The 12,586-nt window shown below is 49.5% G+C and overlaps 1 protein-coding gene across 5 annotated transcripts in view, besides 1 other annotated feature; it reads left to right on the top strand.

The window, feature by feature from the left end:
• MYO18A (myosin XVIIIA) overlaps nucleotides 1-12,586 on the top strand; it is a 109,277-nt gene that overhangs the window by 1,993 nt on the left and 94,698 nt on the right. For 4 of the 5 annotated variants that reach the window (NM_203318.2, NM_078471.4, NM_001346766.2 and 1 more), the window contains exon 2: nucleotides 11,385-12,464. In NM_203318.2, coding sequence (NP_976063.1) covers nucleotides 11,466-12,464 — 999 coding nt within the window. In that variant the 5' untranslated portion in view covers nucleotides 11,385-11,465. Of the gene's footprint in view, nucleotides 1-1,632; nucleotides 1,835-11,384; nucleotides 12,465-12,586 lie in introns of those variants that run through there. The other variant, NM_001346767.2, reaches the window with a different exon arrangement.
• Nucleotides 1,336-1,535: a silencer, noted in NCBI's record as "silent region_8366". NCBI's record gives its function as "represses an Ori minimal core promoter by ATAC-STARR-seq in GM12878 lymphoblastoid cells {active_cell/tissue: GM12878}" and the evidence as "EXISTENCE:reporter gene assay evidence [ECO:0000049][PMID:35858748]".

The raw sequence follows: 12,586 nt of genomic DNA, 5'->3' as shown, positions 1-12,586 counted from the left end.
GAGGGTGGGCATGGGAGGGGCCACAGGCTGGCGGTCACTTCCTTTGGGAGCTTTGAACTTTGAACAGTTGATGACCTGGTGCCTGGTAGCTCTGAGTGTCTAGTTTGTTTACTCTCTCCTGGCCTGGCCCAGGTGCCAGAGTGTGTGCCTGAGGGCTTCCTCCTGCGCCCCAGACTTTCCTCATGTGGGTTATGCCCTTCCTGACTCCCACCTGGTCTCTCAGCCTCACTCCTGGGCTGTCTGGGTAGCCAGCCAGTTCCCTGGAGGCCCCCTCACTGGCCCTGGTAGTGGCTATTCATTGAGGACTGCATGTGTCTTCAGAAACTGGGCCTGAAAACTCTGGGTCCCCCAGAGGCAGGTACCTAAAGGTGGACTGGGTGGGGCAGAACTGGGGCTCATGTGAAAGGGAGAATCCACCCTGCTGAGGTGGAGCTGGGAGTTGTTGGAACTCAGGAAGCCTTCATCTGGACTTGCTGTGTCACAGGTCTTCAGGGCAGCAGGGCTGTTCTTAATCCTTCAAACCAGAGGTCTCTCCTCAGCCAGATCCTCTCACCTGGGGTGGACGCCACAGGCAGGAGCCAGAGCATCCACGTGAGCTGGGTTTTGTTGGTGGCCTGGGGTCCCAGGCCTGAGTGTGGTGGGAAAACTGAGGGGCTCTGGCTGGTTGTAGTTTAAAGGTTTGGGGCAGTAGGAGGGCCCAGCCCACTGTCTGCTGTAATTGACAGGTTCCCACAGGACTTGGGATTGGTAGGGCAGCTTGATGGAGTTTAAGTTCTGCTTTGGGTCAGACCCCCGGGTGCTTTAAGATCTGCACACCCCACCCCATCACCATTTCTTCCCCCTAGCATTTTCCAAGGTGGCCTGAATTAGAGGAGTTGGGGAGGTGCCGAGGTAGGAGCTGGATTGGGAGGGGTGGTGAGCAGACCTGGTGAGCCTCCACTTCCCACCTTCACTTCCCTGCCCTTCTTTTGAGGTAGGAATTGCAGGGCTTGTAAAATGTCAATTTCCCTTGACATTTTAAACAGTTTAGAGTCAGGCAGCAGTTTTGGTTGTTAGACTGATGATTTTACAGGACCCAGGGCCCTTTCTGTCTGCCAAGTAGTTTATCATCACTTACAAGAGATTATTGTGATTATTCTCTAATATTCAGAGAGGTTGGATGATGGGCTGAAGGTCACACAGCAAGTCAGAGGCAGAGCGGGATTACAACCTGCAGTGTGTGGTTGAGCAGAATAGCTCTCCAGCAGAGGCTGAGGGCCAAATCTGAGCTGTCAGGCCCTTGAAGATAACTGTAGCTGAAATAGTGGAGGCTTAGAGAGGGGAGGGGACTTGCTCAAGGTCACACGGAAGGGGATGTTAGCGGAACTGAGCGCCAGGCGGTGCACCTGGAAGAGCAGCAGGGAACCTGGCGAGGCCGCAGGAGCTCTCCCGCTCGCGTTCCTCCATGGCCCGCGGGATTGCTGCCTTCCGGGGGAGATGGGATCGCAGCGGGAGGCGCCGCGGGGCTGCGGCTGCGCCGGCCCAGCCGCGGGGAAACGCCAAGGGCCGCCCGGCTCCCCGCGCGGCGGCGTGAGGGCTGGCTAATGTCACGTGAGAAGCGTGCAGTCGGCGTGAGGGAGCACACCTGGAGCCAGATAAGCTCCGTGTGACCTGGCAGGGAGTCACCCGGCGCTGCGGAGCTCAGCACAGCCGGCCGGGAGGAGGCTCCCCCTGGAGCACGGGGCCAGGCCAGGTGCTGGCTACCCCTCCGGCCGCTGCTACAACCCTTGGCGAGGGGCAGAGCGCGGGGAGAGAGCCGGGGTCCCGGGGCTGGAGGAAACGGCCGCTCAGGGAGGTCAGAGGCCAAGGGAGAGAGGCCGGCTCTCTCGGGAAAGTATTTCCTTTGTATTTATTTATGAGTGTGGTCTGGGGGTGGGGGTGGGAGGACTGACCTAAGTATCTATCCACCACAGCCAACTCTGGGCACCCTTGTCTTGGGACTCTAACGTTATAGTTTCCATTTCCTGGGTTTTTTTTTTCTTTTGCCAGCTGCTAGGTGACCCATTTAAATGTGTCCCCACTTACAGCCACAAGACACCAGTGAACTCTATTTTAACCAAGTCCCCCAAGCCACTGAAACTTTTTCAAGACATGAAGGCAATCCTTAAACTGACCATTACCCTGTTTGCAGCTTTACTGCTGGTGGATTGCCTACTAGTTTGTCCATTTTTTTTTAGTCTGGAAAAAAGTTGAATCATTAGGTAGAAAGCTAAAGCGTTACTAAAGTGTTACCCTTCTTCTCCCCTACTCTCCAGAGATGACCACTGATAAATTTTTGGATCGAATTTTTCCAGACTGCTGTTTTTTTTGAGAAGGAGTCTCGCTCTGTCACCCAGGCTGGAGTGCAGTGGCGCAATCTTGGCTCACTGCAACCTCCGCCTCCGGGGTTCAAGCAATTCTCTGCCTCAGCCTCCCGAGCAGCTGGGATTACAGGCGCCCGCCACCACGCCCGGCTACTTTTTTGTATTTTTAGTAGAGACAGGGTTTCACCATCTTGGCCAGGCTGGTCTTGAACTCCTGACCTCGTCATCCACCTGCCTCGGCCTCCCAAAGTGCTGGGATTACAGGTGTGAGCCACTGCGCCTGGCCAGACTGCTTTTTAAAAGCTTGTTATATATATTTTAGGCACTATATATGTTTATAGTTTAATATATGTTTTATAAAATATCATCTTATATAAATATTTAAAAAATTTCTGTAGTAGGCCGGACACAGTGGTTCACACCTGTAATCCCAGGACTTTGGGAGGCTGAGATAGGCAGATTGCTTGAGCCCAGGAATTTGAGACCAGGCTGGGCAACATGGCAAGACCCTGTCTCTACAAAAAATACAGAAGTTAGCTGGGTGTGGTGGCGAGTGCCTGTAGTCCCAGCTACTCAGGAGGCTGCGGTGGGAAGGATCGCTTGAGTCCCAGGAGGTTGAGGCTGCAGTGAGCCGAGATCGCACCACACTCTAGCCTGGAGGACACAGTGGGACCCTGTCTCAAAAAAAAAAAAAAAAAAGATGAAATAAAAGTAGAAGAAAAATGATAGATAATTCCACTCCCTGAAGCTCCTAGGTGTAAGCAAATACACATTTACCAGATGAATGTTCTTATAAAAAATTAAAATATAGCCCGAGTGCGGTGGCCCATGCCTATAATCCAGTACTTTGGAGGCCAAGGTGGGTGGACCACTTGAAGCCAGGAGTTCAAGATCAGCCTGACCAACATGGTGAGACCCCATCTCTGTTATTTAAAAAAAAAGAAAAAAAATTAAAATATGGATGAAACACAAGTCTATTTGACCCTTCTAAAATTCCAGTCTCCTCCCCAGAGCATATATTTTTCCTACACATATGCAAATATTGTACACAACGTACATGTAATATATTCATGCACATATATAGATATAGGTTTTTAAATTTTAGCAAAATTATAAACTATCCTGCAACCTATTTTTTCACTTAACAATATAGTATAGAATCTTTCCAGGTCAGTGTATACAAATCTACTTCATTCTTTTTACTTTTAATTATACAACTGCTCAGTTGTATAATTTAGCTTTTTTTTTTGAGACAGAGTCTCGCCCTTTCGCGCAGGCTGGAGTGCTGCAATGGCGTGATCTCGGCTCACTGCAACCTCCGCTTCCTGGATTCAAGCGATTCTCCTGCCTCAGCCTCCTGAGTAGCTGGGATTACAGGTGCGCCACTACGCCGGCAAAGTTTTGTATTTTTAGTGGAGATGGGGTTTCACCATGTTGGCCAGGCTAGTCTCGAACTTCTGACCTCAAGTGATCTGCCTGCCTCAGCCTCCCAAAATGTTGGGATTACAGTTGTGAGCCACCATGCCCAGCATTTTATTTTTTTTTATTTTTTTTATTTTTTGAGACATAATCTCCCTCCACCCAGGCTGGAGCACAGTAGCACGAATCTTGGCTCATGCAGCCTTGACTTCTAGGCTCAAGTGATCCTCCCACCTCAGCCTCCCAAGTAGCTGGTATCACAGGTGTGCACCACTGCCTAGCTACTTTTAAAAAATTTTTTTGTAGAGTCAGAGTCTCACTGTGTTGTCTAGGCTGGTCTCAAACTCCTGGACTCAAGCAGTCCTCCCGCCTTGGCCTCCCAAAGTGCTGGAATTAGAGGCCTGAGCCGCTGCACCTGGCCAGTTTTACTATTCTCTAGTAAGGACTTTTATATTTATAGACTTGCTATTATAAACAATGCTGCAAGGATTAGCCATGTATATTATGTGAATGTACCTATAGATGTCTTATAATGGAATTGCCCAAAGAATATGTACATAAATATTTTCATATGCCAGGTGCAGTGGTGGTGCCTGTAATCCTAGCTACTCAGGAGGCTGAGGCAGGAGGATTGCTTGGGGCCAGGAGTTTGAGACCAGCCTGGACAGAATAGCAAGAACCTGTCTCTAAAACAATTTTTAAAAAGTTAGCCAGTAATGGTGGCGCACACCTGTAGTCACAGCTACTCAGGAGGCTAAGACAGGAGGATCACTTGAGCCCAGGAGTTCAAGTCTGTAGTGATCTATGATTGAGCCACCAAACTCCAGCCTGGGTGACAAAGCAAGACCTTGTCTCTTAAAAAAATTTTTTTTTTTCACAGATACCACTGACTTGACCTCTGAAAATACATTAGTTGGTGCAAAAGTAATTGAGGTTTTTGCCATTAAAAAGTAACGGCAGGCCGGGTGCGGTGGCTCACGCCTGTAATCCCAGCACTTTGGGAGCCGAGGCGGGCGGATCACGAGGTCAGGAGATCGAGACCATCCTGGGTAACATGGTGAAACCCCGTCTCTACTAAAAATACAAAAAATTAGCCAGGCGCGGTGGCGGGCGCCTGTAGTACCAGCTACTCGGGAGGCTGAGGCAGGAGAATGGCGTGAACCCGGGAGGCGGAGCTTGCAGTGAGCAGAGATCGTGCCACTGCACTCTGGCCTGGTGAAAGAGCAAGACTGCGTCTCAAAAAAAAAAAAAAGGGCCGGGCGCAGTGGCTCAAGCCTGTAATCCCAGCACTTTGGAAGGCCGAGGCAGGCAGATCACCTGAGGTCAGGAGTTCAAGACCAGCCTGACCAACATGGAGAAACCCCGTCTCTACTAAAAATACAAAATTAGCCGGTCATGGTGGCGCATGCCTGTAATTCCAGCTACTCAGGAGGCTGAGGCAGGAGAATTGCTTGAACCCGGGAGGCGGATTGCAGTGAGCTGAAATCGGGCCATTGCACTCCAGCCTGGGCAACAAGAGCGAAACTCCGTCTCAAAAAAAAAAAAAGTAACGGCAAAAACCATAATTACTTTTGCACCAACCTACCAATTTGTGTTTCCACCAAGACTTATGAGACTCCCTGCATCCCATGCCCTAATTGATTGATATTATCAACCTTGATAGTTTTTACTAAACTGCTAATTGAAAATAGTATACCTCAATTTCACATGTCTGTGAATGTTATGGAGGCTGAATACCTGTTCATGTTTGATGGCCATTTGTATTTCTGCCCCTACAAATTGCCTGTCCATAGTATCCTTGGCACTAGCTACGTGGGCCCTCTGGACTCAAGCCAGTGTGATCCAGCTTGGCCTTGTGCTTATCAAGTTACCTTCACTTCTTTGGGCTTTACTTTCCATGTACAAAGGTTTTGACTTATTTTAGTCATACTTGTGTACTCTGTTATCCTCTCTACTGTGTCATTTAGACTGCAAAAACTGTGCCCTGCTACTATTAGGTACCTCTCTGAGGGTAATTAAATATATTTCATTTAATTCCCCCACCTTAGGTGGTAGGTACCATTATTATCTCCATTTTTATAGATGGGGAAATGGAGGCATGGAGGCCTTAAGTGATTTGCCTGAGATTTCATAGCTATTTACTCATATTTTTTTTCATTTTTATTTAATTTTTTTTTTTTTAGACAGAGTCTTGTTCTGTCGCCCAGGCTGGAGTGCAGTGGCATGATCTCGGCTCACTGCAACCTCTGCCTCCCAGGTTTCAGCGATTCTCCTGCCTCAGCCTCCTGAGTAGCTGGGATTACAGGCGCATGCCACCATGCCCAGCTATTTTTAGTAGAGACAAGGTTTCACCGTGTTGACCAGGCTGGTTTCGAACACCTGATCTCAGGTGATCTGCCCTCCTCGGCCTTCCAAAGTGCTAGGATTACAGGCGTGAGCCATTGCGCCCGGCCCTGTTTACTCAGATTTGTTCACAGGTTTGTTACTTGATATCCAAAGCCTGAGCTCTGACACTGGGCTTACTTATCTTTATGTTGCTTGCCTTTAGGAAGTGGCTGATAGATACATATTTTTTCCCAAAATTTTATCACAATGACCTGCAAACATTCAGAAAAGTTAAAGAATTTTGCAACGAATACCCTCCATTTCCTAGATTCTACAATTAACATTTTCCTATCCTTGCTTTTACACATCTGTATCCCTTGATCCATCCATCAGGCTATGGTTTTTTTTTTTTTTCTTTCTTTCTTTTGAGACAGGGTCTTACTCTGTTACCCAGGCTGGAATGCAATGGCATGATCGTGGCTCAATGTAGCCTCGACCTCCCAGGCTCAGGTGATCTTCCCACTTTAGCCTCCCAAGTAGCTCCCACAGGCATGCACCACCACATCCAGATAATTTTTTGTATTTTGAGTAGAGACAGGGCTTTGCCATGTTGCCCAGGCTTGTCTCCGACTCCTGAGCTCAAGCGATCTGCCCGTCTCGGCCTCCCAAAGTGTTGGGATTATAGATGTGAGCCACCTTGCCCAACCTCATCAAGCTGTCTTAAAATTTTACACATCTCAAAGTAAAACGTAGACATCAGTATATTTCGCCCCAAATACTTTAACATACATATCATTCACTAGAGTTCAATATTTGTTTATAGTTCTTTTCTTTTGAGTGGATATTTACAAACAATGAATGCACAAATCTTTTTTTTTTTGAGATGGGGTCTTGCTCTGTCTCCCAGGCTAGAGTGCAGTGGCGCAATCATCTTGGCTCACTGCAACCTCCGCCTCCCAGGTTCAAGCGATTCTCCTGCCTCAGCCTCCCTAGTAGCTGGGACTACAGGTGTGTGCTGCCACGCCCGGCTAATTTTTTTTATTTTTATTAGAGACGGGGTTTCAGGATGGTCTCGATCTCTTGGCCTCATGATCCACCTGCCTTGGCCTCCCAAAGTGCTGGTATTACAGGCGTGAGCCAACGCGCCTGGCTGAACGCACAAATCTTATGTGCACCATTTGATAACTTGACAAGTGCATATACTTATCAACCCAAACCGCTATCAATATACAGGACATGAATATCACCCCAAAAAGTTCCCTCATGCGATCCCACTCCTACCCCCACCATAGGTTAGTTTTGCCTGCACTAGAACTTCATATAAAGAGAATCATACCCATATGTGCTCTTTGTCAAAGACTTCTTTCCCTCTCACTTGACATCATGATTTTGAAGTCCATCCCCATTGTGTGTATCTTTAGTTGTTTCTTTTTTCTTGCTGAGTAGTATTCCATTGCATGAATATGAGCATTGTTTATGCACTCTGATGGACAGATAGATGTATATTTGAGGTTGATGGTCATTGCCTTCGGGATGCTTACTCTCTTAAAGTGATAGAGCAGCTGAGTTGACAGATTGTACTTTCTTTTTGTTTTTGGGGATAGTAAGAGCAAGATTATTCGGGTCCATACCCTAACTTACATAGATGCCTTCCTTTTCTTAAAATTAGGAAAAACTTCTTAGAGTATGATGAGGAGAGAAACGCAGAAAAGGAGGTCAGGAAAATTATAAGGTTACCTTTACTGGAGTGGAGGGAGAGGGTAGGAGAGGAATGGGAGGCAGATGGAAACTGCAGCCCGGGATAGGGGGTAGGAAGGTAGTGGTATCAGAGCTGTTGGAGACTTTGGACCTGAGGCCAGGAGGTGCCGGAAAGTGCAAGGTCTACAAGAAGGCCATGGAGCAGCAGTCGCATTGCAGATCTGATCCTGGACAGGAGGCTGCAGGCAGCCAGGCAGCTCTAGACTCAGGAGAGAACCAGTCCACAGCCAGGCCTGGCGATTATGGGGATGGCAGTGGGGAAGAGGTGCCTTGTGAGCTGTGAAGATTATGGTGGCAGGACAGGGGTGGTGAGGGAAGGGCTGGCACAGCCTCATTTTCTGAAGGCCCCAGGGTTGGGATGAGAGGGGTGCCTTTGGCAGAAGGTTAATAACTTAACCTGTGTCCACAGGAGACTTAGATATTTAGAATTTTAGAGCCAGAAGAGATCTAGATCATGTAGTTCAACCTTGAGCAGAGTGACAGGCTCAAGGTCCCCCAGCGATTTTTTGGCAGATCCAGGCCTAGATACCAAATCTCCTGAAACTTCTGGCCAGCGCCATCCCTTGTGCTGCTGCTGTGACCGTCTGCTGTCCTGCCTGCTGCAATGACAGTGAGGAACAAGCTTTTGCTCAGACTTTTTCAGGGACCTTTCCAGCCCAAAGATCCTAGAATTCTGGGAGATCCTTTCCACTCATATTACTCAGCGATCTAGCCCCCAGCAAAGAGCCAGGATTGGGTAAGCATTATAGACCGAGAATTGGGCGTCTTGGTGGGACAGCATTCTAGTCAGTTGGGTTCTCTGTGGTTGAACTGAGGCCATGATACTCTTGTTTGTCCCATCCAAGTCCCCAAGGTGGATTTCTTTCTTCATTTCTTCCACAAGTGCCCCTGGAGTTATCTTCTAAACCATCCCTTTAAGATGGTGCAGGCAGTGGTGGGTAAGGTATAAGGTGGGCAGTAACAGCTGAAGACCCCACATCTTGGTTTATGGTAGGTCTGTGCCACACCCCATCAACAGTCAGGAGGAGAGAGACTCCCCTTGTCACAGTAGAGCCCCGAAGAGAGAATGCTGGCTGTCAGGTACTCCTCCACCCCAAATCAGTCCAGACCTACCTGGCCAAGGCCCCTGGCTGTGTGCCTTTTGGGCCCTAGATTTCCTGTTTTCTAACTCCCAGGTACTGTGCATGTAGCATTTAGAACCAACAAGTTCAAGGCTAGGCGCGGTGGCTCACGCCTGTAATCCCAGCACTTTGGGAGGCCGAGACAGGTGGATCATGAGGTCAGGAGATCGAGACCATCCTGGCTAACACGGTGAAAACCCATCTCCACTAAAAATACAAAAAATTAGCTGGGCGTGGTGGCGGGCACCTGTAGTCCCAGCTACTTGGGAGGCTGAGGCAGGAGAATGGCGTGAACCCTGGGAGGCAGAGGTTGCAGTGAGCCGAGATCACGCCACCTCTGCCTCCTGGGTTCAAGTGATTCTCATGCCTCAGCCACCCGAATAGCTGGGATTACAGGCGTGTGCCATCACACCTGGCCAGTTTTTGTATTTTTAGTAGAGATGGGGTTTTACTATGTTGGCCAGGCTGGTCTCGAACTCCTGACCTCTGGTGATCCGCCCACCTCGGCCTCCCGAAGTGCTGGGATTATAGGCATGAGTGGTCTTGAACTTCTGACCTCAAGTGATCTGCCTGCCTCAGCCTCCTAAAGTATTGGGGATTACAGGCATGAGCCACTGTACCTGGCCTTGAATTATATTTCTTATGGACAGCACTGCTCTAGAAAGGAGATGAGTTGGTATGTCAGGAGCAACACAAGTCAGGATGCTGGGCAGGGGGAAGCAATTAGCCATTGCACTACGGCCTTTGGGAATTTCTGACCTTGATGCCTTCCTGAGCATTGTACCAGGGTTGAAGGATGGTCCCTCTCAGTAGACTGGGGATCCCGGAGGGCCCTGCTTGGTTGTAGGGGTGGAGCACACAGAGAGGAAAGGCCTGTCCAGGGCCTGGCAAGAGGCCATTACTAGAAGGGATAAGCTTGTAGATCCTCTGTGTGAAACTCAGAGGGGTAGGCTTTCAGAGAGAGAGAAAAAATGTCATTTAATTTCCAATTAGGTGGCATGGCCTATTTCTTCTTCTTGTTCCCTGCTGGTTAGAACAAGAAAGACTCTCTCAACTCTTCCCACCAGGTTTTTATTGGTCCTGTCCCCAGTTAGATGTGCAGGGGGTTGGGTAGGTTGGTGGGTAGGTTTCACACACCCTGGGGCTGGGATTTTCTTTCAGGCTACCACAGTTTTCTTCCTGGGGCTATATTTAGGTGTTGGTCTGGGGAAAAGGATGTGAATTTTTTAGGATCCTGTTTATCCAGTGGACCCTACCCCACCCCCACCTCGCAGCTGTCTATCCTCTGTTTGGTCTGGAACTTCCCTTCTTTCTCTTGCTGCTTTACTTTGGTCACCCAGGCCCTAGAAAGAACACAATATTTGCCACTGAATCCCAACATCACCATTTATTAGCTGTGTGACAACTAACATATACTTAATTTTCTGTATCCCATTTTCTTCCTTTGTACAGTGGAAATAATGATATCTACCTTGTAGGAATGCTGTGAGGTTCAGAGGAGATAGTGCATGTAAAGTGCCTGGCATTAGGCCTAGCCAGTGGTAGTCATTAAATAAATGTTGGTTCCTTTGAGTTCTTCTGTTAGGCGGTGGCTAAGGGTGCTACTCTAGGGATAACAGGCTCAGGAAAGAGTCCAAAGAATGGGATGTCTGTTGCTTAAACGAACATTGTCTGTGGGAGGTGATGTTGCATTGAGTCCCTTTTCTTTTTCCTTTGAGTTTGAATCTTTTTTTTTTTTTTGAGACAGGGTCTCACTCTGTTGCCCAAGCTGGAGTAGTGTGATCATAGTTCACTGCAACCTCGACCTCCTGGGCTCAAGCAATCCTCAAATTCCCAAGTAGCTAGGAATGTGGGCATGCACCAGCATGCCTGGCTAATTTTTAAAATTTTTTTTAGAGATAGGGTCTCACTGTGTTGTCCAGGCTGGTCTTAAACTCCTGGGCTCAATCGATCCTCTTGCTTCAGTCTCCCAAAGTGCTATGATTACAGGCATGAGCCACCCTGCCTGGCCTGTGTTTGAATCTTTAAGTCAGGTCCCAGGTTGGTTTGAAGCATTCTCTCACCAGGAGGTCAGGTCTCCCACATACTACCTCCAGATACACCTAAGCCTTGGTCTATCAAAGATTCAAGGAAATGACAGGCTTTGGAATCTGGGCTTTTACCGCCTTTTTGGAATCTGGGCTTTTACCGCCTTATCTAAACCTTAAGTTTCCTTATTTGTAAAATGGGGTAATAATAGTAACTACCTATAGAAGGGTTGTAAGGATTAAATCAGTGGAGACAATATTGGGTAAGGCAGAGTGCCTGGCACATAGCTAGCACCCAGTGAGGAGTAGCTGTATCATTTGGTTATGTCTGGACTGGAGACACATGAGGCTCTGTTCGAATAACCTTTCTCTCTGTGTGTTTCTGTTTGCAGCAGCAAAGTGGGGCACCAAGGCCCTGTGCTAAGCACTCATAATCCTCTGGGGGTGCTACCCCTACAAACAGCACCCCCACCATGTTTAACCTAATGAAGAAAGACAAGGACAAAGATGGCGGGCGGAAGGAGAAGAAGGAGAAAAAGGAGAAAAAGGAGCGGATGTCAGCGGCAGAGCTTCGGAGCCTGGAGGAGATGAGCCTGCGACGTGGCTTCTTCAACCTGAACCGCTCCTCCAAGCGTGAATCCAAGACGCGCCTGGAAATCTCCAACCCCATCCCCATCAAGGTGGCCAGCGGCTCTGACCTGCACCTGACTGACATTGACTCCGATAGTAACCGGGGCAGCGTCATCCTGGACTCGGGCCACCTAAGTACAGCCAGCTCCAGCGATGACCTCAAGGGTGAGGAGGGTAGCTTCCGTGGCTCGGTGCTGCAGCGGGCAGCCAAGTTCGGCTCACTGGCCAAGCAGAACTCACAGATGATTGTCAAGCGCTTTTCCTTCTCCCAGCGTAGCCGGGATGAGAGCGCCTCAGAAACCTCGACGCCCTCAGAGCACTCTGCCGCCCCCTCGCCACAGGTGGAGGTGAGGACTCTAGAGGGACAGCTGGTGCAGCATCCTGGCCCAGGCATCCCTCGACCAGGGCACCGATCCCGAGCCCCTGAGCTAGTGACTAAAAAGTTCCCAGTCGACCTGCGCCTGCCCCCCGTGGTGCCCCTGCCCCCACCTACCCTCCGGGAGCTGGAGCTGCAACGACGGCCCACTGGAGACTTTGGCTTCTCCCTGCGGCGCACAACCATGCTGGATCGGGGCCCCGAGGGCCAGGCCTGTCGGCGTGTGGTCCACTTTGCTGAGCCTGGTGCAGGCACCAAGGACCTGGCCCTGGGGCTGGTGCCAGGAGATCGACTGGTGGAGATTAATGGGCACAATGTGGAGAGCAAGTCCAGGGATGAGATTGTGGAGATGATCCGGCAGTCAGGGGACAGCGTGCGGCTCAAGGTGCAGCCCATTCCAGAGCTCAGCGAGCTCAGCAGGAGCTGGCTGCGGAGCGGCGAGGGACCTCGCAGGGAGCCATCCGATGTGAGTGCTTCCCTGGGCACCTGGGCTAAGCAGGGATGGGGAATGTGGGCACCTCCTGCTTGACTGGGTAATCGGGGTACCCAAGAGCTGTTATCAGAGCCTAGCAGTGTGTAAGTGGGGAA

This window comes from Homo sapiens, chromosome 17 (assembly GCF_000001405.40).
Source record: "Homo sapiens chromosome 17, GRCh38.p14 Primary Assembly".
NCBI classification, from domain to species: Eukaryota; Metazoa; Chordata; class Mammalia; order Primates; family Hominidae; genus Homo; species Homo sapiens.
Note: the sequence above shows the minus strand (reverse complement) of the source record. Positions and strands in the feature narration are given on the sequence as shown.